This window comes from Homo sapiens, chromosome 18 (genome assembly GCF_000001405.40).
Source record: "Homo sapiens chromosome 18, GRCh38.p14 Primary Assembly".
NCBI lineage: Eukaryota > Metazoa > Chordata > Mammalia > Primates > Hominidae > Homo > Homo sapiens.
In genome coordinates, this window is record NC_000018.10 from 12,307,315 (window position 1) to 12,331,763 (window position 24,449).

The 24,449-nt window shown below is 47.2% G+C and overlaps 2 protein-coding genes across 10 annotated transcripts in view, besides 7 other annotated features; one reads left to right on the forward strand and one right to left on the reverse strand.

The window, feature by feature from the left end:
- On the forward strand, window positions 355-22,512 carry TUBB6 (tubulin beta 6 class V). 8 transcript variants are annotated; one of them, NM_001303524.1, is made up of 5 exons: window positions 355-455; window positions 948-1,035; window positions 1,373-1,481; window positions 3,629-3,739; window positions 17,753-19,302. In NM_001303524.1, the coding sequence occupies exons 2-5, from the start codon at window positions 979-981 to the stop codon at window positions 18,814-18,816; spliced, it is 1,341 nt and encodes a 446-aa protein (NP_001290453.1). In that variant the 5' UTR covers window positions 355-455; window positions 948-978; the 3' UTR covers window positions 18,817-19,302. The 8 variants fall into 8 exon arrangements, with proteins under 8 accessions (NP_001290453.1, NP_001290457.1, NP_001290459.1 ...); NM_001303528.2 differs by lacking the exon at window positions 355-455 and adding an exon at window positions 13,315-13,430 and having other exon boundaries at window positions 927-1,035; NM_001303530.3 differs by lacking the exon at window positions 355-455 and adding an exon at window positions 13,222-13,430 and having other exon boundaries at window positions 927-1,035; window positions 17,495-19,255.
- Window positions 413-902: a silencer, noted in NCBI's record as "silent region_9308". NCBI's record gives its function as "represses an Ori minimal core promoter by ATAC-STARR-seq in GM12878 lymphoblastoid cells {active_cell/tissue: GM12878}" and the evidence as "EXISTENCE:reporter gene assay evidence [ECO:0000049][PMID:35858748]".
- Window positions 993-1,092: a silencer, noted in NCBI's record as "silent region_9309". NCBI's record gives its function as "represses an Ori minimal core promoter by ATAC-STARR-seq in GM12878 lymphoblastoid cells {active_cell/tissue: GM12878}" and the evidence as "EXISTENCE:reporter gene assay evidence [ECO:0000049][PMID:35858748]".
- Window positions 1,113-1,462: a silencer, noted in NCBI's record as "silent region_9310". NCBI's record gives its function as "represses an Ori minimal core promoter by ATAC-STARR-seq in GM12878 lymphoblastoid cells {active_cell/tissue: GM12878}" and the evidence as "EXISTENCE:reporter gene assay evidence [ECO:0000049][PMID:35858748]".
- Window positions 11,230-11,730: an enhancer, noted in NCBI's record as "H3K4me1 hESC enhancer chr18:12318543-12319043 (GRCh37/hg19 assembly coordinates)". NCBI's record gives its function as "activates a minimal SCP1, AML or CMV promoter by ChIP-STARR-seq in primed H9 embryonic stem cells {active_cell/tissue: H9 hESC(primed)}" and the evidence as "EXISTENCE:reporter gene assay evidence [ECO:0000049][PMID:30033119]".
- Window positions 11,270-11,339: an enhancer, noted in NCBI's record as "active region_13101". NCBI's record gives its function as "activates an Ori minimal core promoter by ATAC-STARR-seq in GM12878 lymphoblastoid cells {active_cell/tissue: GM12878}" and the evidence as "EXISTENCE:reporter gene assay evidence [ECO:0000049][PMID:35858748]".
- Window positions 20,252-21,101: an enhancer, noted in NCBI's record as "H3K27ac-H3K4me1 hESC enhancer chr18:12327565-12328414 (GRCh37/hg19 assembly coordinates)". NCBI's record gives its function as "activates a minimal SCP1, AML or CMV promoter by ChIP-STARR-seq in naive H9 embryonic stem cells {active_cell/tissue: H9 hESC(naive)}" and the evidence as "EXISTENCE:reporter gene assay evidence [ECO:0000049][PMID:30033119]".
- Window positions 20,636-20,930: a silencer, noted in NCBI's record as "tiled region #11778; K562 Repressive DNase unmatched - State 25:Art". NCBI's record gives its function as "represses a minimal TATA promoter and a strong SV40 promoter by Sharpr-MPRA in K562 cells {active_cell/tissue: K562}" and the evidence as "EXISTENCE:reporter gene assay evidence [ECO:0000049][PMID:27701403]".
- AFG3L2 (AFG3 like matrix AAA peptidase subunit 2) overlaps window positions 21,630-24,449 on the reverse strand; it is a 48,284-nt gene continuing 45,464 nt past the window's right edge. For both annotated transcript variants that reach the window (XM_011525601.4, NM_006796.3), the window contains one exon: window positions 21,630-22,469. In XM_011525601.4, the coding sequence (XP_011523903.1) occupies window positions 22,251-22,469 (219 nt within the window). In that variant the 3' untranslated portion in view covers window positions 21,630-22,250. The remainder of the gene's footprint in view (window positions 22,470-24,449) is intronic.

A 24,449-nucleotide genomic window follows, 5' to 3' on the forward strand; every position in this document is an offset into this window, starting at 1 on the left:
AGCCTGCAGCGTTCACGTGAGGAAACTTCCGCAAAAGCCCTGATGCATGCACATTCTGACTGCAGAGGCCAGAGCATCCCGCATTTTGGAGGCTGAAAGGCTCCCCTAGGATAACCTTTTCCGTTAACAGAGGAGTCCGCTGAAGCGCAGAGCTAACTGAAAACAGCTAGAATTAAAATCCAAGTCACCCGGCCGGCATCAGCAGTCATTCCTTTCCACCACACAAAACTGGCCAGGAAGACGGACTCTGGCGCGCCCTCCCAGGCCGAAGCGCATTTCTTCGCTAACGCGCGAGGAGTAGGCTGCATAGACCCGGCGCAGGAGGTGTTCATTTTCGGATCCAGCCCTGTAGTCACTTTAGCTAAACCCGGTTCCAAAGGGGTGGGAGTCGTCGGAGAGGAATGGCCTCTGTATCTCCGGAGACGGAAACACCAGGACGAAGAGGCCCTAAGAACGTGTGCCCGGGGTGCGACCGGGGGGTGGGGGGCAGGGGGCAGAGACCCTGAAAAGCTCCACCGCCGAACCCCAGGGCAGTGTCCCGGCTTGGCTGGACTGGGCGCGGGCGGCTGCAATGCTCCCGGGCGCGGCGCTGGGACCCCGCGGGCCACGTCGGCTCCGCTGCCCCGACGCCAGGGCCCGACTCGCGTCTCCCTCTGGCGGGGCACCACAAGGGGCAGCGAAACGGTGGTGGGGGCGGGCGCCGCGCTCCTTCCCGTCTCCTCCCCGCCAGCTCCGGGCCCGTCCTTTTCCGCCCGGCTCCCGGCAAGGGTCCCCCGACTGGCGCCCGCGCGTCCTCCCTCGGCTGCTGCAGGCCGGGCCGCGGCGTCGAGCGGGGGCGGCGGGGCGGGGCCCGCAGCCATTGGCGAGCGGCGGGGCGGGGGCGGGGGCGCGGAGGGTCGGCCCCGGGACGCGCGCAGCCGGCCCGCAGTTGCCGCTGTCGTCCGCAGAGCCAGTTCCTAGCGCAGAGCCGCGCCCGCCATGAGGGAGATCGTGCACATCCAGGCGGGCCAGTGCGGGAACCAGATCGGCACCAAGGTGGGCCTGGCGCGGTGCAGGGCCTCTCCGCGGGTCGGCTGCTGGCGGGCCCCGGGTCTCCCGGCGCGACCCCCGCCGGGGCGCGCACCCGCTGTGCGCCCCTGGGTCCTCGGAGCCCGGTGCGGACCCGCGAGGGCCGCAGGGAGGGAGCGCCCGGGGCGTGGCCGGCCGGGGACCTTCTACTCTTCGCTCCCCACCCCCATCCCAACTGGGAGCGGCTGCCGGCGGCTCAGGCGCGCCTGGAATTCGGCCGCCGGGGCGCCTGGGGTGGGCGCGGGTGGCGGCGTCCCGGGCTCTGGGTTCTGAGCGTCTGTCCCCCCGCCTTGCCCTGCCCAAGTTTTGGGAAGTGATCAGCGATGAGCACGGCATCGACCCGGCCGGAGGCTACGTGGGAGACTCGGCGCTGCAGCTGGAGAGAATCAACGTCTACTACAATGAGTCATCGTGTGAGTAGCAAGGCCGCCGCGCCCTGCCCGGCCGGGACCCGCGTGGACGCTCCGGCGCCGCCTCTTAGCGCGGCGAGTTTGCTTCGGGAAAAGTTCTCTCGGGGTGTAGCAGGATGCCCGGCCACTCCCTTCGCTCCTCCGGGGCGGGAAATCCGCCGTCAGTTTATTCAAACAGCTCGATTCAGCCTATCCTGAGGGTCTGAGCGCTTGAACGGGACCACCCGTTAGCGTTGTGAAATCAACGTAGCGGTTCCTGCCCAGCCTTCTCTGTCTAGCCGGGCGCGGTGGCTCAAGCCTCTAATCCCAGCGCTTTGGGAGGCCGAGACTGGAGGATCATTTGGGGCCAGGAGTTCAGGACCAGCCTGGGCAGCATAGGAGACCACCCCCCGCCCCCCTCCCGCCCCGATCTCTACAACAATTTTAAAATTAGCCGGGCTTGGTGGCCCACCCCTGTAGTACCAGTTAACTGAGGGCTTGAGCTCAGGAGGTCGAGGCTGCAGTGAGCTGTGATCGCGCCACTGCACTCCAGCCTGGGTGACAGAGCGAGACCCTGTTAGAATAAATTAGAGCGTTTCTCAAGGATCCTTGGGAAAAACAAAGCTTCCCCCCCCCCCCCCCCAGTTTAAAACGTATCTCTTATTGGGGATTCTTGGCTAAAAATTTGAGAAACGCTCTCTTAAGTGACTTTTCTGGTCCCTTGCAGACCTCTAAAAAGACTTTAACCTCCCTGGAAGCTGAAACTCCAGGCAGTTCTCAGCAACGAGTGGAGTTTTATTCATTTACGCAGCAATGACAAAAGGCTGGGAACATCAGGGCATGGAAGATGAAATTTCTAGAGGACACTAAGGATAGTTCCAGTATACACTGCACTTCATGTTAATCCCTCACCCAGCTTGGGTACATCCATTTTCGATCTTGGCGAGTGCACTGCAGGACAGGAGTTGAAGAGCAGGTCCTATCTGGAATCATATTAACCGTGTCCTCACCGGGAACAAGTTCTAGCCCAATTGGCATGAAATTTCCACACAAGAACACTCTGACTCAAAATGAGAGTGACTCTGGGGAAACAGCCAGTGGCGTGCTCCGGGTAACAAGGTTCTCAGACTGCACATGGGCACATGTATGTGTATGCATGGGGGAGGTGTCACAAAGCAGAGAATTTCATCCAAACCTGGCAATTTGCTGTAAATACCTAGTTTATTTCCATGGAGCTAAAGTTGTAAAACTTCCTAACAGGAAAGAGGTGTCAGGGTGAGCTGGAAAATACAGTAGGCAGGAAGTCAGGGGACTTGATTTCTCATCCTGCCTCTTCCTGGAACCTCCTCTGCCAGGTCATGCCTGGACTCGTTCCTCATTCCAGTGTTAAGGTTCTAGGATTTTTTTTCTTTCTTTTTTTTAAGAGACAGGGTTTCGGCCAGGCACGGTGGCTCACCCCTGTAATCCCAGCACTTTGGGAGGCCGAGGTGGGCAGATCACAAGGTCAGGAGATCGAGACCATCCTGGCTAACACGGTGAAACCCCATCTCTACTGAAAATACAAAAAAAATTAGCCGGGCGTGGTGGTGGGCACCTGTGGTCCCAGCTACTTGGGAGGCTGAGGCAGGAGAATGGCATGAACCCAGGAGGCGGAGCTTGCAGTGAGCCGAGATCACACCACTGCATTCCAGCCTGGGCAACAGAGCGAGACTCCATCGCAAAAAAAAAAAAAAAAAGACAAGGTCTCACTCTGGAGTACAGTGGCATAACCATGGCTCACTGCAGTCTTGACCTCCTGGGTTCAGATGATCCTGCCACCTCAGCTTCCAGAGTAGCTAGGACTAGAGGTGCACACTACCACACTTAGCTAATTTTCTTGGTTTTTTGTTTGTTTGTTTTTAGAAACAGGGTTTTGCTCTGTTGCCCAGGCTGGTCTTGAACTCCTGGGCTCAAGCGATCTGCCCACCTCAGCCTCCCAATGTGCTGAGATTACAGGGATGAGCCAGTGCGCCCAGCCAATTCTGTGATTCTAAGAAAGTTCCTGTACCCTTTCTGAAAAGACCCTGGTTGATCCATTCCAGGCAGCTAGAACTGGTGGGACTTGAAACGGGGAAGTCAATTACTTTAGAAACCTGAAAGTAACTCTTGTGGGTGGTTCTTTTCTCCTCCAGCTCAGAAATATGTGCCCAGGGCCGCCCTGGTGGACTTAGAGCCAGGCACCATGGACAGCGTGCGGTCTGGGCCTTTTGGGCAGCTTTTCCGGCCTGACAACTTCATCTTTGGTAGGTTCCATCTTTCTCACTTTCTTCTTCTTCTTTTATTTTTTTAAATCAAATATTTTATATGCCAGATTTAAAGCATCATGTGTCATAGAAAAAGTGTGAATGGAAATCAGTGGTTCCCAGCCCCACCCCTCCCATCCCTAGCTGGGTTCATCACAAGGAACAGTTTTTTTTAAATCTTGACTTTTTTGGTGGGAAGGAACCTCTATATCTCTAAATGAAATTCTTCTACTGGTAGTTCTTGATTAAAAAACAAAAATCAAGCCAGGCGCGGTGGCTCATGCCTGTAATCCCACCACTTTGGGAGGCCAAGACGAGCGGATCACGAGGTCAGGAGATCAAGACCATCCTGGCTGACACGGTGAAACCCTGTCTCTACTAAAAATACAAAAAATTAGCCGGGCATGGTGGCACGTGCCTGTAGTCCCAGCTACTCGGGAGGCTGAGGCAGGAGAATCGCTGGAACCCGGGAGGTAGAGGTTGCAGTGAGCTGAGATTGCACTACTGCACTCCAACCTGGGTGACAGAGCGAGACTCCATCTCAAAAATAGCAAAAAACAAAAAAACAAAAACCAAGAAACAATTTTAGACATTAGCTTCTTTTTCCCCATCATTATAAAGTTATTTTGCCATTTGTTTTTGGTTCCTATATTGGTTTTATCAGAATTAGGTAAATCCTTTTTTTCTTGCTTCTTCCACCTAAAAAATGATAGTAAAACATATCTTTCTGCAGACTTCTGAAGAAAATTATATAAAATTACATGAAGTGGTACCATTAGTGTTATCAAGTAGAACCTACAGGATAGGTGGCAGATTTGGAAGTTTCCCACCTATTTTAATGTTAGAGACCACATATCTATTGACATTATTGCTAAAAAAAAAAATTCCTCACTCAATCAAACATATTTCCAATACCTGTGAAAAGCAGTGTCTTCCAAGAAAATGTGAAGAATTTGAAGACTGATTCTGGCTTAAAAGCACTATGGTGTAGGAATCAAATACATCATGAAAAATCTACATTCTAACCCCTTTCTCAAAAGGCACCAGGAAGAGATAGTTTAATAGAGGGTAACAGACAATCCCATTATCCAAACCATTCCAGAGAGAAAATGATGGAAAACTTCCCAACATTTCCTATGAGGCTAGGTAGCTTCTACTAGAACATACAAGTGAAAGCTGTATATCAAACTTACTTAAAAATATAGATGCAAAAATCCAAAATAAAATACTTAGAATATCAAATGTAGTTGTGTTTTTTAAAAAATATATTAATAGCACATTGTGACCAAGTAAGACTGAGAGGCAGACAGTGTAATGGTTAGGAGTCTGGCTGTGCTGCCAGACTCCCTGGGTTTAAATTTTGGCCCTTCCACTCACTATGTGGCCTTAGACTTATTTAACTTACTTGTGACTTAATTTCCTCATCACAAGTGGGACTGTCTACCTCTTAGTGAGATGTAAGGATTAAATAAACACTTAGAATGTCTAGTACAAAATAAGTGTTTGAGAAATACTAGCAACATCCCAGGAATGCAAGGATGGTTCAACATTAAGAAGTCTACTAATAGATTAAAGACAACATCTTAATAGATGACCCAAAAAAGTGGGTTTTTTTTCTGACTCCCAGCAGGAAACAATTTTTTAAAAAAGATTAAAGTTTTGGAAGCCAGGAGCAGTAGCTAACGCCTGTAATCCCAGCACTTTGGGAGGCCAAGGCGGGCGGATCACCTGAGGTCGGGAGTTTGAGACCAGCCTGACCAACATGGAGAAACCCCATCTCTACTAAAAATACAAAATTAGCCCAGTGTGGTGGCACATGCCTGTAATCCCAGCTACTCGGGAGGCTGAGGCAGGAGAATCACTTGAACCCAGCAGGCGGAGGTTGGGGTGAACCAAGATCGCACCATTGCACTCCAGCCTGGGCAACAAGAGTGAAATTCTATCTCAAAAAAAAAAAAAAAAAGATAAAGTTTTGGATGTGTTCCTGATTTGTAGAGGACAAAAAAACTTCTATGTAAGCTGGAAGTAGAAAGAAACTTCCTTTATTTACAGATTATCTACCAGAAACCCATAGCAACATTACACTCCCTGGTGAAACAGAAGCATTTCCAGCAGAATTAGGTATAAGAAACAGATGTCCATTGTCTCTACAATTATTCCATGTTCTGAAGGCTTTAGCCAGTGCACAAAAACCAGAGAAAGAAAAAATGCAAATCATGTAAAGGAAAAGACAAAAGTGTTATTTGTTGATGAAATGATTCTCTTGGAGTTTCCAGATAGGCTATCAGCTGAAAAATGACTAGCACTTACAAGACTTCAGTAAGGGAGCCAGACACAAGATAAAATATTCAGAAATTAATAGTTTTGCGATCAGGTTACCAATCTTTCTGATTTGCCTGGAACTGGGAGGTGTTCCCCAGGACACTAGACTTTGAGTGCTAAAACTGCCAGGGTCCCAGGCAAACTGGAACAGATGAATCACATTAAAAGCAATAATCACTGGGGAACACATCCTATTCACAACTGTAATAAAAGCTATAAATACCTGGGGACAAAATTTACTACTAACTAGAGGCAAGAGGGAATTAAAACAAAATATTCTCCCACCAGATTGGCCAGTATTTCAGAAGCTGCTAAGACCTAGTGTTGGTGAAGGTGTTTGGGAAAATAACAGCTGTTCAGAGAACTACTTAGTAGATTGAGCAAATCAATAATTTCCATCCAAGAGTTCCAGTTCAAGGAATCTGTTCTGCAGAAATGCTCACACATAGAGATTGCAGATTGGCCTCCAGAAGAGCTGAATCCATTTGCATGCCCACGGGGGGTGTCTGAGAGCTCCTCTTGCCCAGTGTCATCCTTGTCAATTCAGAGGGACTGCTCTCTGAGTACTGTAATAAAGACCTGACTTGGATAACATTAATATTCTGTATTGTGAGAAAGGAAAAAGGACGATCCTACTTTATACAGATCAGCATTGAGTAACTCACTTACTAAGTAGGTATAGACTCAGCAGCCACAGCTTCTTTCTGGACCACATTCCCAGGTCACAGAGTTAACATAGCCAGGAAGAAAGAGCACCGCACCGGGAGAGGGAAACTGAGCAGCTGACCCTAGCTCTGTGCCCGCTGGCAGCATCAGTTCCCTTCTCTGGGGGTCTTCATTTTACTATCTGAAATGAAGGACCCCCCCCAAGCATCTTGGGGTCACAGACCCCTGTAAGAATCTGCGAGAAGAAATGGCCCTATCTCCCCCACTTGTTGTAGAATTCTGCCCAGTCTTCTCCTTGAGGTTCAGTGGATTTTTGGTGAGAATCTGAGCGAGCGGACAGCTAAGATTTCTTGAGTCTGAATTATAGTTGGCTGAGTCTACCGTAGTCTCAGTAAGCTTTACCAGACACAATTCATGTATTTCCAACTAATACACCTTTTAGAAATCACACCTCTTCTTTGATAGGCAGTGTGTGCACATGGTGCGTAGCTGGAAAGGCCATACAGTGAAAACCCACCTCCCTCCCTGCCTGCCTCCCTCGCAGGAGTCCTTCCTGAGATTGGGAAACAGTTACAAGCATATCTGTGAATTTTTATAGATAAAAAAGATCTTAAAGTTTTACATATGTAAAATATATACCTTCTTCAAAGAAGGATATGAAACAACAGTAAAAGACAGGCATAAATGTAGCAGTTTACAACACAGAGTCAACTGTGAGCTCAGCTGTGGCTGAGAATTAATTTTAGCTCTGGGTTTCTGGCAACTAAATCCAAAAAAGGAAGCACAGCAGGTGACACAGCTGACATTGTCTCATAAAGGGGAATATATGCTTTTAATATATTTAAAAGGGAGCTCTCCCCACCATCCTGAGTGATTCGTATTTATTTTTAATTTGTACTTTGCTTTGCTTTTTAAACTTTGCTTTTTTTTTTTAGCAAAAACTAATATAACCACACTCTTAAAAGTTTAAAACTAGAGTTAAAAAAAAATTCTGTATGTTCATCATCTTAGTGTAATTATTGTCAGCACTGAGGTATTTTTTTCACCTTTGTTTCTTTTTGCTGACTCTCATTATTGTAATCATGGTATCATTTATATCTTTTTCCATTGAACATTATATTATAAACCATATTTCACATTTAGTTTCTAAAATCCATAATTTTTAATAGCTCCATAATGTGTAATTAATTCTTTATGCAACTTTATAATGGCCAATAATCAGGAAGCTGTTTCTTTTCAGCTTTTTGCTCTTAAAAGGAATATTGAACATCTTGATTCACTTAAATTTGTCTGTTTCTCACTTTGATTTCAGAATAGATTCTCAAAAAGCAAAATTACTGGGTCAAAGAGTGAAGAGATTTAAGCCCTTTTTACACACTTCCAATTGGATTAATGCCACCAGCAGTGTCTGAGAGCGTAGTTTTTGCTGCACTTTTGCCTGAAATTAAACTTTTCAAAGAAACGTAGCAACTGAATGCTTATTTTATGAGAGACTCAGGGCTTTAAGAACTACTTTATAGGAAATGTAAGAACAGCTCTGAATTTGGCCCTTCTATTCTACACTGACGTAAATTGTCAGCGTAAAACAGAGAAACCTGCACACATATCACGCCAGGACTCACGCATAGAGGAGCCGGAAGGCAGGACATTAAAATGCAACTCAGCGCACGCTGCACTGTTTCCCAGGGGAAGGGTGGTTAGCCGAAACTCATGCCACACCCATTACTGCTTTTTGAGATAAAATAGGAAAAAAGTATATAATTCTACATAGTTGAGTAAGTTCACACTCACACTTGTTACACAGGGCTTCATGTACCAGTGGCCGGTTTTATTTCTTAAATGGGTAGTAGGTGTGTAGAGATTCATATTATTTTTCATATGCTTTTGCATGCCTTAACTCTGTCAAAAAAAAGATATCAGTTGTCTCAAAGGTGTGGTCACGGAAAAGGCAGCTTTCATGGAGAAGGTTTTCAGCAGGTCATGGCTGTCTGGCCCCGGCCCAGTCTGCCCCAGGCCTGGCAGCAACTGAGGGACCCAACCCAGTCTGGATGGGTGCCCCGAGGAGGCCTCACCCACCAGCAGTCAACGCAGTGCAGCCAGGACCTGGCCAGGTCTCAAGAGAGAGTCGAAGCCATGAACTGATCTTTATGACATGAGTGCATCACAAACTATTGAAGTGGTGAGAAGCTAGTTTCTCACAGCTGCCACTTTAGCAATTGTGAGTTTTCTTTGGTTTATTTGAATTGAACATTGGGAGAGTGTAAGGTCTTTCTAGCTGTTGACAAATGGGATCACGAAGATTAAGACAAATTAAGACAGACCTATGGTGCCCATTTAGTTATCTAATTGTCCCTGTAAGCCTTCAAAAATGTTAGAAATGACCTTTGGCACATAAAAACTGTCCCCGAAATTGCTTCTTGCATCTTTGCTTCATCTGACTTGCAACCCTATTTTTGATTCAGAATGTTTTAAGTTTTCAACAGGTTGTACTAACATGATATGTCTTTAATAGGAATTTTAGCAAGTTGACACCATTTTGAGTTAAGAATTGTGACTTGTTTAAATGAATATGCTTATTTGTTAAAATAACATATTATGGAGAATGGAGAAGTATCCAGAATGTATAAACATTCTATATTGTTTAGCTAAATAGTTTTTAAGTCGTTCTCCAGTAAAAGAGGCAGAATTGTCTGTGAACTGGAGATGATCCATCCTCACTGGCTTTATACCATATTGTTCCAGTTAGAGTTGGTAAATTACAATAAACCAGTGTCATTCCATTTCCAAATAGAGTTTGAAATGATTTAGGAAACACTCACTTACATTAGTAGTGTATACTTTTAAAAGTGAAAGTTACCTGTAATTCCAGCACTTTGGGAGGCGCAGACAGGCAGATCATCTGAGGTCAGGAGTTCGAGACCAGCCTGGCCAACATGGTGAAACCCTGTCTCTCCTGAAAATACAAAAATTAGCCAGGCGTGATGAGTGCCTGTAATCCCAGCTACTCGGGAGGCTGAGGCAGGAGAATCACTGGAACCTGAGAGGCGGAGGTTGCAGTGAGCCGAGATTGAGCCATTGCACTGCAGCCTGGGTGATGGAGTGAGACCCTGTCAAAAAAAAAAAAAAAAAGAAAACTTCCCAGTTGGGCAGTGGCTAATGCCTGTAATCCCAACACTTTGGGAGGCTGAGGCAAGTAGATCACTTGAGCCCAGGAGTTGAAGGTCAGCCTGGGCAACATAGTAAGACCCTCTGTACAAAAAGTTTTTTTAAATTAGCTAGGCGTGGTGGTGTGCACCTGGGGTCCCAGCTATTCAGGAGGCTGAGGTGGGAGGATCACTTGAGCTAGGGAGGTTGAGGCTGAGGCTGCAGTGAGCGGTGTTTGCGCCACTGCACTCCAGCCTGGGCGACAGAGCAAGACCCTGTCTCAAAAAAAAGAAAAGAAAAACTTCTGTAATGAATTGCTGGTTGCATAGCAGTCATACCTACTCTATTGTTGGAAAGTTTTGTGGGAAAAGAATGAAGCACCAGAAAGGTAAACGTTCTTCCAGCCTCTTTCTGTATTTCTAACTTTTTCTTCCAGATTCAGGGCTAGAAGAGGGGGCAGGAGTGCACAGACCCTTGACACTTATTCCATCACCCATTGTGAGCTTGAAACCAGAGGGGGGACTCAGAGAAAACCCTGGGGACCTGTTGCAGCCCCACTGCCAAAAAGCTTAGAGTTGGCAGCCTCCTGCTAACTGTCTGGAGTCACTGACTAACATCACACCGTATCAGTACAGAAGATGTTCAGTTCACAACTCCCAAATATTTAACTGGAACATCTGTTGCTATGAGACAGTGGCAAAATATTTTTCAGAAGTCACCAGCTTCCTCCTTTCATCAAGAGCACAGAAAACTTCATGGCTATTCATGCTATAAATATTGAGGAAGCTGGGTAAATGGTGTGAGCTGCAGAGGGAGTCAAGTTCAGCATCTCCGTCCACTTACAGCTAGCTCAGGTCTGATTGATTGGGGTTCTATGTTTGCCAAAAGCCACCTACTATTTTCAGTTGTTGGTTTCTGCTATTTTAATGAAATAGGTCCCAGGCTATTTTGACAGCTGCCCTGGGTCTTTCCTTTGTAAAATGTGACAGTTCTAGCACCGAGTGTGGACCAGCCCCGAGCTTGTTCCTCCCAATACCTATGTTGTAGTTTTGCCAGGTGCTGCCTGCTAGGTTGGGTGGGGAAGGGGTGGAGAGAAGTTGGTGGGGGCTTAGGAAGGACGGTGACCATTTTCTCGCCTACTAAGAGAAGGCAGTCAGCTAGGATTCACTGTGCAACACAGCTGGGCAGGAAGAAGAGAATCCCCTGTTTGTAAGAGAACAGTCACATACTAGATGCTGTCTACGGCTTGTGAAAAACACAAGGAAACGGCCACCTGAGAGTACTAAAGTGGCCAGGCCCACGGGGTGTGCTGCAAGCACACAGCAGGCATCTGCCTAGCCCGGCCCCTCTGCAGAGCCATAGGGCCTGCCATGCCAGTGACACTGGGCTTTGGACTGCCAAATGGGGCAAAGACAATAGGAGAGAAAGGCTGAGCTGATTTCTCAGTGGGACTGAGACGGAGATCTAGGGAGGCTGATGCTGCAGACAAGTGCAAGGGCCCTCTGTGGTCAGTTTCAGCTGGCCAGTTCTGCTCTCTGGAAACTTCAGTGTTCAATATTTAAATGTGTGGTTTTGTTTGTTTGTTTGTTTGAGATGGGGTCTCGCCTTGTCACCCAGGCTGGAGTGCAGTGGTGTGATCATAGCTCACTGTAGCCTCAAACTCCTGGGCTCAAGCAGTCCTCCCACTTCACCCTCCTGTGCTAGGATTGCAGGTGTGAGCTCCCATAGCTGGTCTTATACAAAAAAAAGTGTTTAATGTTTTCATGTCAAAGTTAAAACAAAGTGCTTGTACATGGTTTTTTCAAACAGTACACATAGATTGTGTATACAGTGCAGAAAGGGAAAGCTGTCATCCCTTCTACTGGTGGCCCCTGAGGTTTTATTCCCTAGGGGGATAACCGAGTGTGTAGACAGTTGTGCTGTGTCCTGCTGACATTTTTCCTTTTTCCTTTTTTTTTTTTTTCTTTTTTTTTTTGAGACGGAGTTTCGCTCTTGTTGCCCAGGCTGGAGTGCAATGGCGCAATCTCGGCTCACTGCAACCTCCACCTCCTGGGTTCAAGCAATTCTCCTGCCTCAGCCTCTGGAGTAGCTGGGATTACAGGCACCTGCCACCACACCCAGCTAATTTTTTGTATTTTTAGTAGAGATGGGGTTTCCCCATATTGGCCAGGCTGGTCTCGAACTCCTGACCTCAGGTGATCCTCCTGTCTCGGCCTCCCAAAAGTACTGGGATTACAGGTGTGAGCCACCGCGCCCGGCCCTGCTGACATTTTTCTGTGTCCATGTGCACCTAGGTGAGCACACAGAGCTGATTTTGTCTGGGGAAAATGGGATCCTGCTATACACACCATTTTGCAGCCTTTTGAAAAATTCATTAATGTATCTCAGACATCCTCCGTGACAGTCACAGTGCCTACCATTGTATATGTCATCATTTAGTAATTTCCCACTTACTGATGACATTTTAAAATTTTTCATTAAAGAAGAGCTGGGCTCAGGCGTTCACACCTGCCATCCCAGCACTTTGGGAGGCCAAGACAGGATGATCACTTGAGTTCAAAAGTTTAAGACCAACATGGACAACATAAGGGGACCCTCTCTACAAAATTTTTCTTTTTTTTGACGGAGTCTCACTCTGTCGCCCAGGGTGGAGTGCAGTGGTGCGATCTTAGCTCATTGCAAGCTCCACCTCCCGGGTTCACGCCATTCTCCTGCCTCAGCCTCCGGAGTAGCTGGGACTACAGGCGCCCGCCACCATGCCATGCTAATTTTTTTTATATTTTTGGTAGAGACGGGGTTTCACCATGTTAGCGAGGATGGTCTCAATCTCCTGACCTCGTGATCCACCCGCCTCGGCCTCCCAAAGTGCTAAGATTACAAGCGTGAGCCACCGTGCCCAGCCAAAAAAATGTTTTTTTAATTGTCCCAGCTACTCAGGAGGCTGAGGCAGGAGGATCCCTTGAGCCCAGGAGTTGGAGGCTGCAGTGGCTATGATTGCACCACTGCACTCCAGCCTGGGTAGCAGTGGAAGACCCCATTTCTAAAATAATAATAATAAAAAATTCCTTTTTTATACTTTAATATTCACTTATCATAAAATAAATGTTTTAGTTAAAATGTCATAAAGCTAGAAATGAACTCTCTTAGGACCCCATCCTTCAAAGACAACCTGTGCTTTCTTAATTGCATTGTAAATGTTTTAATAAAGTAATTTTTTTTTTCATTTTGCTAGCTAGCTAGGTAAAACATTTTCATGGTTTAGGACTTAAAAGGAACAAAAGGGTATATAGTGAAAAGTTGATCTCCTTCCTACCCCGAACTAGTGTTAAGATTCTTGAATGTCCTTTCAGGTATGTTCAGGCAGACGCATATATTTACACACATACAATGGAGCCAGCTGTATACACTGTTTAGTACCCTAGTGTTCCTCCCTGGCTCCCCAGCAACGTATTTTGAAGATCTTTCCATTTCACAAGTATGGCTGCCTCATTCCTGTTGATGGCTGATAGTATCCTCTGCAGAGATACCGCCGTGGATTTAACCAGTCTTCAGTTGATAGGTATTTGGGTTGTTCCCCTTTTTATTATTATAAATTGTTCCTCAGTAAACATTTGTATATATGTCATTTTGCACATGTATGGGTCTATCTAGAAAAACTTACAGAAGTGTAATTGCTGTGTCTAGGGGGATAATTTTGATAGCTGTAGCTCAGCTGTTCTACAGCCCACTGCCCTTGCTATCTCCAGTAGCTCCCGTGGGAAGTGGCCTTCCCCAAACCCTCAGCAGTGCAACTCAGGTGTTTGGATCTCTGTCAGTTTCACAGCAGAAAAATAGAATCTCCTTGTTTTAATTTGCGTTTCCCTTATGAGAAGGGTTTAGCATTATTTCCAGTACCTAAGCTATTGGAATTTCCTTTCCTGTGAGCTGTATGTTTATAGCCTTTGCCTGTTTTCCTAATGGCTGTTGTTTTTCTTACTGATTTAAGGACTTCTTTAGATATTGAAGGAGGGTATCCTTTATATGTGATATGAGTTATTAACAGTCCAGTACATACATTTTAACATTAAGTTCAGTACACTTAATGAAGAATCACAGAATTTGTTTTTTCTTGCACTGAACACCTACAGTGTGTAGCACTGATAAATGCTTCATCCCCCCCAAGAGTAGAGCCACTGTGTAAGGCTGCACTTGTTATGTACTGCAGAAGCCAGGGGTGCCATCAGTAGACCTCATTGTGAGCAGGCCCGTGTCCCAAATTGCATGGGAGCCCCTTGTCCACTAATTAAAGATTGACAAGTGAAAGGCAGCTTGCTTACCCGATGTAGCACTTGGCAGCTCTCAGAGGCAGCCTTGGTGGTTTCACTGCTTCATAGTTCAGTGCCCCCAGGGTGAGTGCAGCATCAGGGATGGACCTGCCCACGTGAAACCAGAGAGGCTGGTCTTTGGCAGTGGCTGTGAATTGTTGCCACCAGCCGTGTGTAGACAAAAGTCAAGTTGGAGTAAGTGGGGAGAGGTCTGTATAATGCAATGCAAGTTTTTATGACTTGAATTAGTTAAATCTGCAGCCCAAAATTTCATGAAAATAAATATTTAAAACATTTTATTAAAAATTAAATTGACAAAGTCATATTAGAAATTAGTATTTCAATTTTCCCAACTCTAAGTATACTGGAATAAATTGCCTTAAAGTGAAAGAGTGAGAGTGTATTTAGTAAGTCTTGGTTAAGCCTTTTTGGTTTACATTCAGAAACAAGAAAAGAATGACTGATGTAAAATGTCATGACCTGCAAGTTAGGTCGTTTCCAATTCTGCTTTCTTCAACATTGAGTTGTTGGCCAGGTGCGGTGGCTCATGCCTGTAATCCCAGCACTTTGGGAGGCCGAGGTGGGCGGATCACTTGAGGTCAGGAGTTCAAGACCAGCCTGGCCAACGTGGTGAAACCCTCTCTCTACTAAAAAATACAAAAATTAGCCGGGTGTGGTGGCAGCACCTGTAATCCCAGCTTCTCGGGGGGCTGAAGCAGAATTGCTTGAACCCAGGAGGTGGAGGTTGCAGTGAGACAATACCGTGCCACTGCACTTTAGCCTGGGCAACAGAGTGAGACTCCATCTCAAAATAAATAAATAAATAAATAAACAAAATTGAGTTAAGTGACAGATGATTGAAAATACTTTTTTTTTTTTTTTTGAGACAGGGTCTTGCTCTGTCACCCAGGCTGGAGTGCTGTAGCACAATCTTGGCTCACTGCAACCTCCATCTTCTACGCTTAAGTGATCCTCCCACCTCAGCCTCCCGAGTAGCTGGGACTACAGGCATGCACTACCAGACCCAGCTAATTTTTGTATTTTTAGTAGAGATGGGGTTTTGCCATGTTGCCCAGGCTTGAAAATACTTTTTGATAATAGCTCACTATTTGATTTTTGGGATGTAACTCTGAAGACAATCAAAGAACTGAATGACATTGTAGAACATAATTCATTCCCATTTACATATATCTGTGGACAAGATTTCTCATATATGTAAAAATTAAGAGGAATAGAATTGATCCCAAGCCTTGGCCCTTTCTGGCAGTATTTAATATTCACCCTTGGATAAATGAATTAATAGGAAAAAAATAGATATAGATAGGTAGATAGATAACATTTAATACTTTGTAATCACAGGAAATTAAAAAGAATCAACTTCAACTGATTGGAATTATTTCTGATTTTTAATATATTCTATCAATACATTTAACAGAAGAAGAGTTTTTTAAAGTGATTATATTGTTTCCAGAAATTAAAATTATATCATATGCAACTATTTGACTTATGAAAAATAATAGATGTTAACTTTAAAATAAATGAGAGGTATCTAGTATCTAGTTTTTTCAAATGTTCATTAGCCAAGTGTAGTGGCATGTGCCTGTAGTCCCTGCTACTCAAGAGGTTGAAGTGGGAGAATCACTTAAGCCCAGGAGTTCAAAGCTGCAGTCAGCTAGGGTGGTGCCAGTGTACGCCACCCTGGGTGACAGAGCGAGACCTTGTCTCTAAATAAATAAATACAGATGTTCACAGCAATGTATGAAAGCCATTGCATTATATGAAACTCGTAGTGCCCAGAAAACCAAAAACAAAAATTAGTTCCTCCCACTCCTACGTGCATCTGTTCATATGGACATACAAACCTGTGTAATTTTTACAGCTGGGAAAAAAATGCTTCTGCTAGTGAAATAATCCATTTTAAAATGAGATAAAATGAAAAATAGGATTTTAAATTTAAGAGCCAATCTTTCAGATTCAATTTTTTTTAGGTAAAGTAAGATATACATAAGCCTGTCTGGCAAAAATGCACCATTATGGGGCTGGCCCGGTGGCTCACACCTGTAATCCCAGCACTTTGGGAGGCCGAAGTGGGTGGATCACGAAGTCAGGAGATTGAGACCATCCTGGCTAACATGGTGAAACCCCATCTCTACTAAAAAATACAAAAAATTAGCCAGGCGTGGTGGTGGGTGCCTGTAGTCACAGCTACTTGGGAGGCTGAGGCAGGAGAATGGTGTGAACCCGGGAGGCGGAGCTTGCAGTGAGCCGAGATCGCACCACTGCACCTCCAGCCTGGGTGGCAGAGCAAGACTCCGTCTCAAAAAAAAAAAGCACCATTATGCAGAAAACAGACTAGGTCTCTTTCTTGTTACTTGAACTCTGCATAAAATACAGAAGTCTTTCAGACATATTAAGCTCCTTTTCTCAACTGGCCTGGAAACAATTTGAGGGCAGGAATTACTTCCTGTGCTTAGTATTTAATTATAGGGGCAGAATAAATAATTGGTTCTGCAAACATTTTGCAACAGTAATTCTGGATGATGAATGAGGGGCTCCATTAACATGAAAAAGTGTCAAGTTTTAAAAATAAAATACTTGGGCCGGGCGCCGTGGCTCACGCCTGTAATCCCAGCACTTTGGGAGGCCGAGGCGGGCGGATCACAAGGTCAGGAGTTCGAGACTATCCTGGCTAACACGGTGAAACCCCGTCTCTACTAAAAATACAAAAATATTAGCCAGGAGTGGTGGCAGGCGCCTGTAGTCCCGGCTACACGGGAGGCTGAGGCAGGAGAATGGCGTGAACCCAGGAGGCGGAGCTTGCAATGAGCCGAGATTGCGCCACTGCACTCCAGCCTGGGCGACAGAGTGAGACTGCGTCTCCAAAAAAAAGAAAGAAAGAAAAGAAAATACTTATACATAGTACAGTATAAGATTCAGAAAGCCCAAAGGAGAGAACTTTTTTTTTTTTTTTGAGCTGTAGTCCCATTCTGACGCCCAAGCTGGAGTGCAGTGGCACCATCTCAGCACACTAGAACCTCCACCTCCCAGGTCCCAGGTTCAAGCAATTCTCCTGCCTCAGCCTCCCAAGTAGCTGGGACTACAGGCTCCCCACCACCACGCCCGGCTGATTTTTGTATTTTCAGTAGAGATGGGGTTTCCTCATGTTGCCCAGGCTGGTCTCTAACTCCTGACTTCAAGTGATCCACCCGCCTCGGCCTCCCAAAGTGCTGGGATTACAGGCATGAGCCACGGCGCCCGGCCAGTAACTTATTTTTTTAATGTATACCTTTTGTTCCCTTTGAATTCTACCATGTGCAAGAATTACCTCTTTAACATGGAACAACCAGGTCAAAATGTATATACATCTTTAAAATTGACCAGTAGCTACTTTGACTTGCCTAAAAACGTACCAGTGCATCTGCTCAGCTGCACCGTTGGTGGGTGCCTGTTTCCCCGGCCCCTCCCTTTGGCTAACAGCACATCATGGAATCACTTCACACCCTCCTTGTCGGTGACCAAGCATGGTGATGGCGCAGCCCTTTCCTGTTTAAACGGCACGGGACTCTCTTTGTTGCAGGCCAGACGGGTGCAGGGAACAACTGGGCGAAAGGGCACTACACGGAGGGCGCGGAGCTGGTGGACGCAGTGCTGGACGTGGTGCGGAAGGAGTGCGAGCACTGCGACTGCCTGCAGGGCTTCCAGCTCACGCACTCGCTGGGCGGCGGCACGGGCTCAGGCATGGGCACGCTGCTCATCAGCAAGATCCGTGAGGAGTTCCCGGACCGCATCATGAACACCTTCAGCGTCATGCCCTCGCCCAAGGTGTCGGACACGGTGGTGGAGCCCTACAATGCCACACTGTCGGTGCACCAGCTGGTGGAGAATACAGACGAGACCTACTGCATCGACAACGAGGCGCTCTATGACATCTGCTTCCGCACTCTGAAGCTGACAACGCCCACCTACGGGGACCTCAACCACCTGGTGTCCGCCACCATGAGTGGGGTCACCACCTCGCTGCGCTTCCCGGGCCAGCTCAATGCTGACCTGCGCAAGCTGGCGGTGAACATGGTGCCCTTCCCGCGCCTGCACTTCTTCATGCCTGGCTTCGCGCCGCTCACCAGCCGCGGCAGCCAGCAGTACCGGGCCCTGACCGTGCCCGAGCTCACCCAGCAGATGTTCGACGCCAGGAACATGATGGCCGCCTGCGATCCGCGCCATGGCCGCTACCTGACCGTGGCCACCGTGTTCCGCGGGCCCATGTCCATGAAGGAGGTGGACGAGCAGATGCTGGCCATCCAGAGTAAGAACAGCAGCTACTTCGTGGAGTGGATTCCCAACAACGTGAAGGTGGCCGTGTGCGACATCCCGCCCCGCGGCCTGAAGATGGCCTCCACCTTCATCGGCAACAGCACGGCCATCCAGGAGCTGTTCAAGCGCATCTCCGAGCAGTTCTCAGCCATGTTCCGGCGCAAGGCCTTCCTGCACTGGTTCACGGGTGAGGGCATGGATGAAATGGAGTTCACCGAGGCGGAGAGCAACATGAACGACCTGGTATCCGAGTACCAGCAGTACCAGGATGCCACCGCCAATGACGGGGAGGAAGCTTTTGAGGATGAGGAAGAGGAGATCGATGGATAGTCGGAATAGAGCCGCCCCAACTCAGATCCTACAACACGCAAGTTCCTTCTTGAACCCTGGTGCCTCCTACCCTATGGCCCTGAATGGTGCACTGGTTTAATTGTGTTGGTGTCGGCCCCTCACAAATGCAGCCAAGTCATGTAATTAGTCATCTGGAACAAAGACTAAAAACAGCAGAGAATTGCGGGTTCTACCCAGTCAGAAGATCACACCATGGAGACTTTCTACTAGAGGACTTGAAAGAGAACTGAGGGGCCACAAAATAAACTTCACCTTCCATTAAGTGTTCAAGCATGTCTGCAAATTAGGAGGGAGTTAGAAACAGTCTTTTTCATCCTTTGTGATGAAGCCTGAAATTGTGCCGTGTTGCCTTATATGAATATGCAGTATGGGACTTTGAAATAATGATTCATAATAAAATACTAAACGTGTGTCTTCATCTCTCTAGCCATGTGCATAAATGACGTAAGTTACTTTGTATGGTTACAATGGCTACTTGGGTCACTGGTCTCTCCCTGGGGTGAACTCCTCCCCACTTCAGTTCACGAAAACAACAGAGGAAAGGGCTCTTCTTTAAATGGAGGCTTTAAGGGGGGCAGCCAAAACTGTTGCTAGCTGGAAGGCAATGCAGTACAGACAAAAGCCCCTCCTCCATCCGCAGCCACCTTTTAGACTCCCACAGGATCTTGCATTTTCCCAAGTCAGGTCCTGGGCTAGGGTTCCCCAACCTTGTAGGGGAACAAACAGCCCCAAAAGGCCTCCGGACAAAGCCAGGGGTGCTGGGTGGGAGCTGGGGTGCCAACAGCCAGCCCTGCATGGAAGGGATGGGCCCTTTTCTGCTGTGACCCATCACACCTGATGGCTTCTACCACCGGCCACACCTTTGGAGTTTCCAAAGATAAACTCCACGGGGCACGCACAGTAGCCCTGCTAGTGCCTGGTACAGACCTCACTGTTGACAATATTTTTGCTTTACTTCTTCCTGCCCTCTTGAAGCTGTGAACGTGGGACTTGCTCTAGCCATAAGAATGGGCATAGTGTGTCACCCCCGAGTGGAAGCGTCATGTGCCAGTGCCAGCCCTCCTGCTCTGCCTCCCACGTGGGCAGCCCCCCCGATCCCTCCTGTCCACCCGTCCAGGTTCCTGAGTGACCATCCTGGGCAGAGCCCACTCTGACCTGTGTTGGACAGGGAATAAGAGACAGACAAAGCTTTGTCATTCGGGACCACTTAGGGTTAGGGTTCCCCACAGTACAACCACAACACCACCCTTGGTCTGTGATCCCAGGCCTTACATTGACTAGCTGTATTTATTTTGTGTTAAGCCCCAGCCTTGGGCAGATGGAAAGTTCATCACTAAACACAGCAGCATGGCTTGAGGTGATCACAGATCTTTTTGCAGAAATCTGAACTATTCTGAGACCACAGTAAAAATAAATCTTACCAGCTCACCACCCACATCTGTCCTGAAAACATGTTCTGTGTGACCGTGGAAAGATCTATGCATGAGCAGGCCCCACAAGATGGTGGCACAGGGAGCCACGGTTGCTCCTAGCACAGAGGGCCACTTGCACAGGTTGAGCAGCCATCCAGGGCCCAGAGCTTAAGGTTGCTCACCTCACCAGAAACATGGGTGTTGTCGGTGCTATCTGGCTTTGTCACTCTTACTGTATCAAGCCTGACAGACAGTGGGCCCCACTCTCGTCCCCCGGGAGGTCTCACAGCCAAGGCCTGTGAGAGGGCAGCCCACGCTGGCTCCATGCCTTGCAGTGGTTGGATAAGGAGTAGAGAGCGTCTCCTAATCGTCTACTGCCTGTATGGTAAAAAGCACACCCAGCACCCTCACAACTGTGTGAGCCTCAGCCTGGAAACAATGCTTCATTGGGCACCTCCCAAAAACACCCTATGAGGAAAGGAAGTGGCCAGTGTGGCAATGCCTGCAGGTGCAAAGGTCCAGCAGGGGGCGCCTGTTCTCCTGGCATGCTGAGCTGTGGAGTCCAAACAGCTGCTTCCACGGCCTGCCGGGGACAGGTGGGTATCTCAGGCTGCTGGGAAGTAGCCATGGGTGGAGCATGCATGGCCTGGGGCCATGGCAGGGATGCCACTAGATTGTGTTAATTCTAAAGCCACTGTTCCGACAACATCAACACCACACAAGGCAAGCTGGAATAATGCTAAAACAGACTGCTAAAAATGTAAATAGTTAAAAATGCCAGTGTCTCCTCCATGTCCAAATAACAGCAATTGATAGAAGACATAGCAAATCTTCCTCATGCCATCTTTTTTAAGGAATTTTGATATAGGTTTGCAACACTACAGACTCACTTTTCTGGAAGCACATAACCAATAACTCCCTTTCAATAGACAATAGGAGCAGCTTACCAGTCAGACCACTCCTGAGATGTCCCCAGAGAGCCAGGGCCCAGGGGACTCCAGCTTAGTTCCACTGTTCCTTCTCTAAAATCCAGGTGACGGCTCAGGTCAGCCTGCCAGGCCCGCTACAGTTATACGTTAACTTCTATACCCAGAAGGTGTGGCCAACATCTGGCCATGACTGGCCTCTTGAGGACCTGCACTGGGGTGGTTATCACAGATTCAGGCCATGACTAACCCCTCAGGACCCATGTACTTTATATCCAGAGCTCAGTGCATCTTTACAGGACACATAACTCTAGAAGGTTCCAACCTCCTGTGGGAGCTAATGAGAACCAGCGAGGCTGAGATTTTGAAGGATTCTCCTCTAAAAAGCAAGAAAATTTAATTTCTTGCCATTATGTTTTCTAAAAATATCCAGAGCATAAATAGGGACCCTATGTGTGTTCAGAAAAGTACAGTGTTGACATTTTATTTTTTATGTAAAGAAGCCATATTTACATAATACATTCATATTTTTAAGTATGTTACAGCTCCTGTAGAAAACCATTCCATTAAGACAGCAACAAGTGATCTGGATTCAATCTTTAAAATATTAAGTCAAATTAAAATGTTCTTATCAAGACTCCAATTTAATTTCACAGCCCATCTGCACAGGGGAACTGAGGAGAAACAGGAATGAAGAGTGGGCGACAAAGAGAAAGCATCCCTTCCCACACGCCAAGAGTCCAGTGCAACGATCCCTGCCACACGGTCAGCCGACCCCACTTGGTGCCACAGGGTCCAGCCTCGGCCACTCTGGGCTCAACCTTTCCAGCACGTCTGGGAGCCCAATGAGGCTATGGGACAGTGTGCATTTCCCTCAAGGCCTCCGGAAAGTCACCTGCCACCCACTGTGACCTCTGAGGCTGAAAGGACTAAGGACTCCTTTCCCCATCATTTCAGCTGGGCCAGTGGCTGGCTAAAATCAGCGCAGCATTCCCATTCTTCTGAAAGCCACAGCTGAAATAATGCACCAGCTGAAACCACAGTGGACAGACTGAGATGGCCTCCCTCTGGGCCTCTAGTTGGCAACTTTCTCACCCGGGGGCTCCTCTTTCTCCTTTTCCCGCTCCTTGTTCCAGTCCTTAAGGCCTTCTGGAAGTGAGGTGTCCTCATCCAAGCTGCCAGTGCCTTCCACAAATTCTTCATAGGTAGATTTTTCCGCAAATGGTCTGGGGCCCAAAAGTTCAACCATATCATTCTTATCTAATACTTCTTTTTCTAACAACAGAAGAGCAACCTGAAATATGAACAATTTTCATTAAATACAGTTACTCAGCAAAGTCTATTCAGAAATATTAATTTTTTATTTACAGGTGACCCCATTCCAAAAAAGGATTTAAGACCAATGAAAAAGATGTCTCATACATAAGGTTGCATAGTTTTAGAGTAAGATGTGCAAAATATCAAAGCAACCAATGTCCATCTGTAAGGGATACATTTCCATACTAGACATATTTCCACACATCTGCACAATGAATGCTGACCATCTATAATGAGGAGGAAGCTGGCCGGGCGCGGTAGCTCGCGCCTGTAATCCTAGCACTTTGGGAGGCCGAGGCGGGTGGATCACAAGGTCAAGACCATCCTGGCCAACAGGGTGAAACCGTGTCTCTACTAAAAATGCAAAAAAATAGCTGGGCATGGTGGTGTGCGCCTGTAGTCCCAGCTACTTGGGAGGCTGAGGCAGGAGGATCACTTGAACCCGGGAGGCGGAGGTTGCAGTGAGCCAAGATTGTGCCACTGCACTCCAGCCTGGGCGACAGAGCGAGACTCCTTCTCAAAACAAACAAACAAAAAAAAATAGGAGGAGGCTGTGTATGTTCTATATACATCTCAGAGATACACACTTCAATTAAAAAAACAAGATGTTCAGTGTGCACAGCATCTTACGTTTGCTTTTCTGAGGTGATAAGAATGTATCTTTTTATGTGCATTAAAGCAGAATAGGCAGCCAAGTGCAGTGGCTCACACCTGTAATCCCAGCACTTTGGGAGGCCGAGGTGGGCGGATCACCTGAGGTCCGAAGTTCGACACCAGCCTGGCCAAAATGGCAAAACCCCGTCTCTACTAAAAATACAAAAATTAGCCAGGCGCAGTGGTGGGTGCCTGTAAGCCCAGCTACTCAGGAGGCCGAGGCAGGAGAATGGCTTGAACCCAGGAGGCAGAGGTTGCAGTGAGCCGAGATCGCGCCATTGCACTCCAGCAGCCTGGGCAACAGAGCAAGACTCGGTCTCAAAAAAAAAAAAACAGACTAGGCAGGAGCCATCAGCTTAGGGCTTTTTCTGTACCCAGAACCCATCCATACACAAACTGGAACTTAACCTAGAGGCATTCTTTGTAACTAACTTCAAATTAAGCTTCTACCAATCATAAACAGCCAACCAGCCAACTGTGGCAGAACTTGGGACCATGCATTGGACCACACAAATAAGGCAAATGCCCAGCAGTAGCCAATCAAGCAGTCATGCACCGCTAAGAGCAGTCATGCACTGCTAACAACGTTTCAGTCAATGATGGGCCCCATGTAGATGGTGGTCCCGTAAGATTATAATACCTTATTTTAACTGTACCTTTTCTATGTTTAGATGTGTTTAGATACCATTGTGTTACAATGGCCTGAAGCATTCAGTACAGTCACATGCGAGCAGGTATGCAGCCTAGGAGCAATAGGCCACACCACACAGCCTAGGTGTGCGGCAGGTGTAGCGCACTCTGATGCCTGCACGACGACAAAATCAACTAACAGCAAACTCCTCAGACCGTATCCCCATCATTAAGCAACACATGACTGCAGTTTCTTTCTTTGCTTCTAGGCTCAGCCTACAAAAGCTTGCTGCTCATGCTGCCGGAGCAGAGCTCTGAACTTCTAATTCTGAGGGCTGCCCGATTCCCAAACTGTTCTTTGCTCAAATAAACTTATCTGTTAAATTTACTTTGTCTAAAGTTTCTTTTAAATGGTACATAAAAAATATATGGCCACGCGCAATGGCTCACGCCTGTAATCCCAGCACTTTGGGGCGGCGGATCACCTGAGGTCAGGAGTTCGAGACCAGCCTGCCCAACATGGTGAAACCCTGTCTCTACTAAAAATACAAAAATTAGCCTGGCGTTGTGGCACCTGCCTGTAATCCCAGCTACTCAGGAGGCTGAGGCGGGAGAATTACTTGAACCCAGGAGGCGGAGGTTGCAGTGAGCCAAGATGGAGGCACTGCACTCC

Bases quoted from the DNA above. Each gene is read 5' to 3' on its own strand.
- TUBB6 (NM_001303524.1), top strand. From the start codon at position 979: ATGAGGGAGATCGTGCACATCCAGGCGGGCCAGTGCGGGAACCAGATC. The intron at 1,036-1,372 runs GTGGGCCTGGCG...GCCCTGCCCAAG, and splicing joins GGAACCAGATCGGCACCAAG to TTTTGGGAAGTGATCAGCGA. The intron at 1,482-3,628 runs GTGAGTAGCAAG...TTTCTCCTCCAG, and splicing joins CTACTACAATGAGTCATCGT to CTCAGAAATATGTGCCCAGG.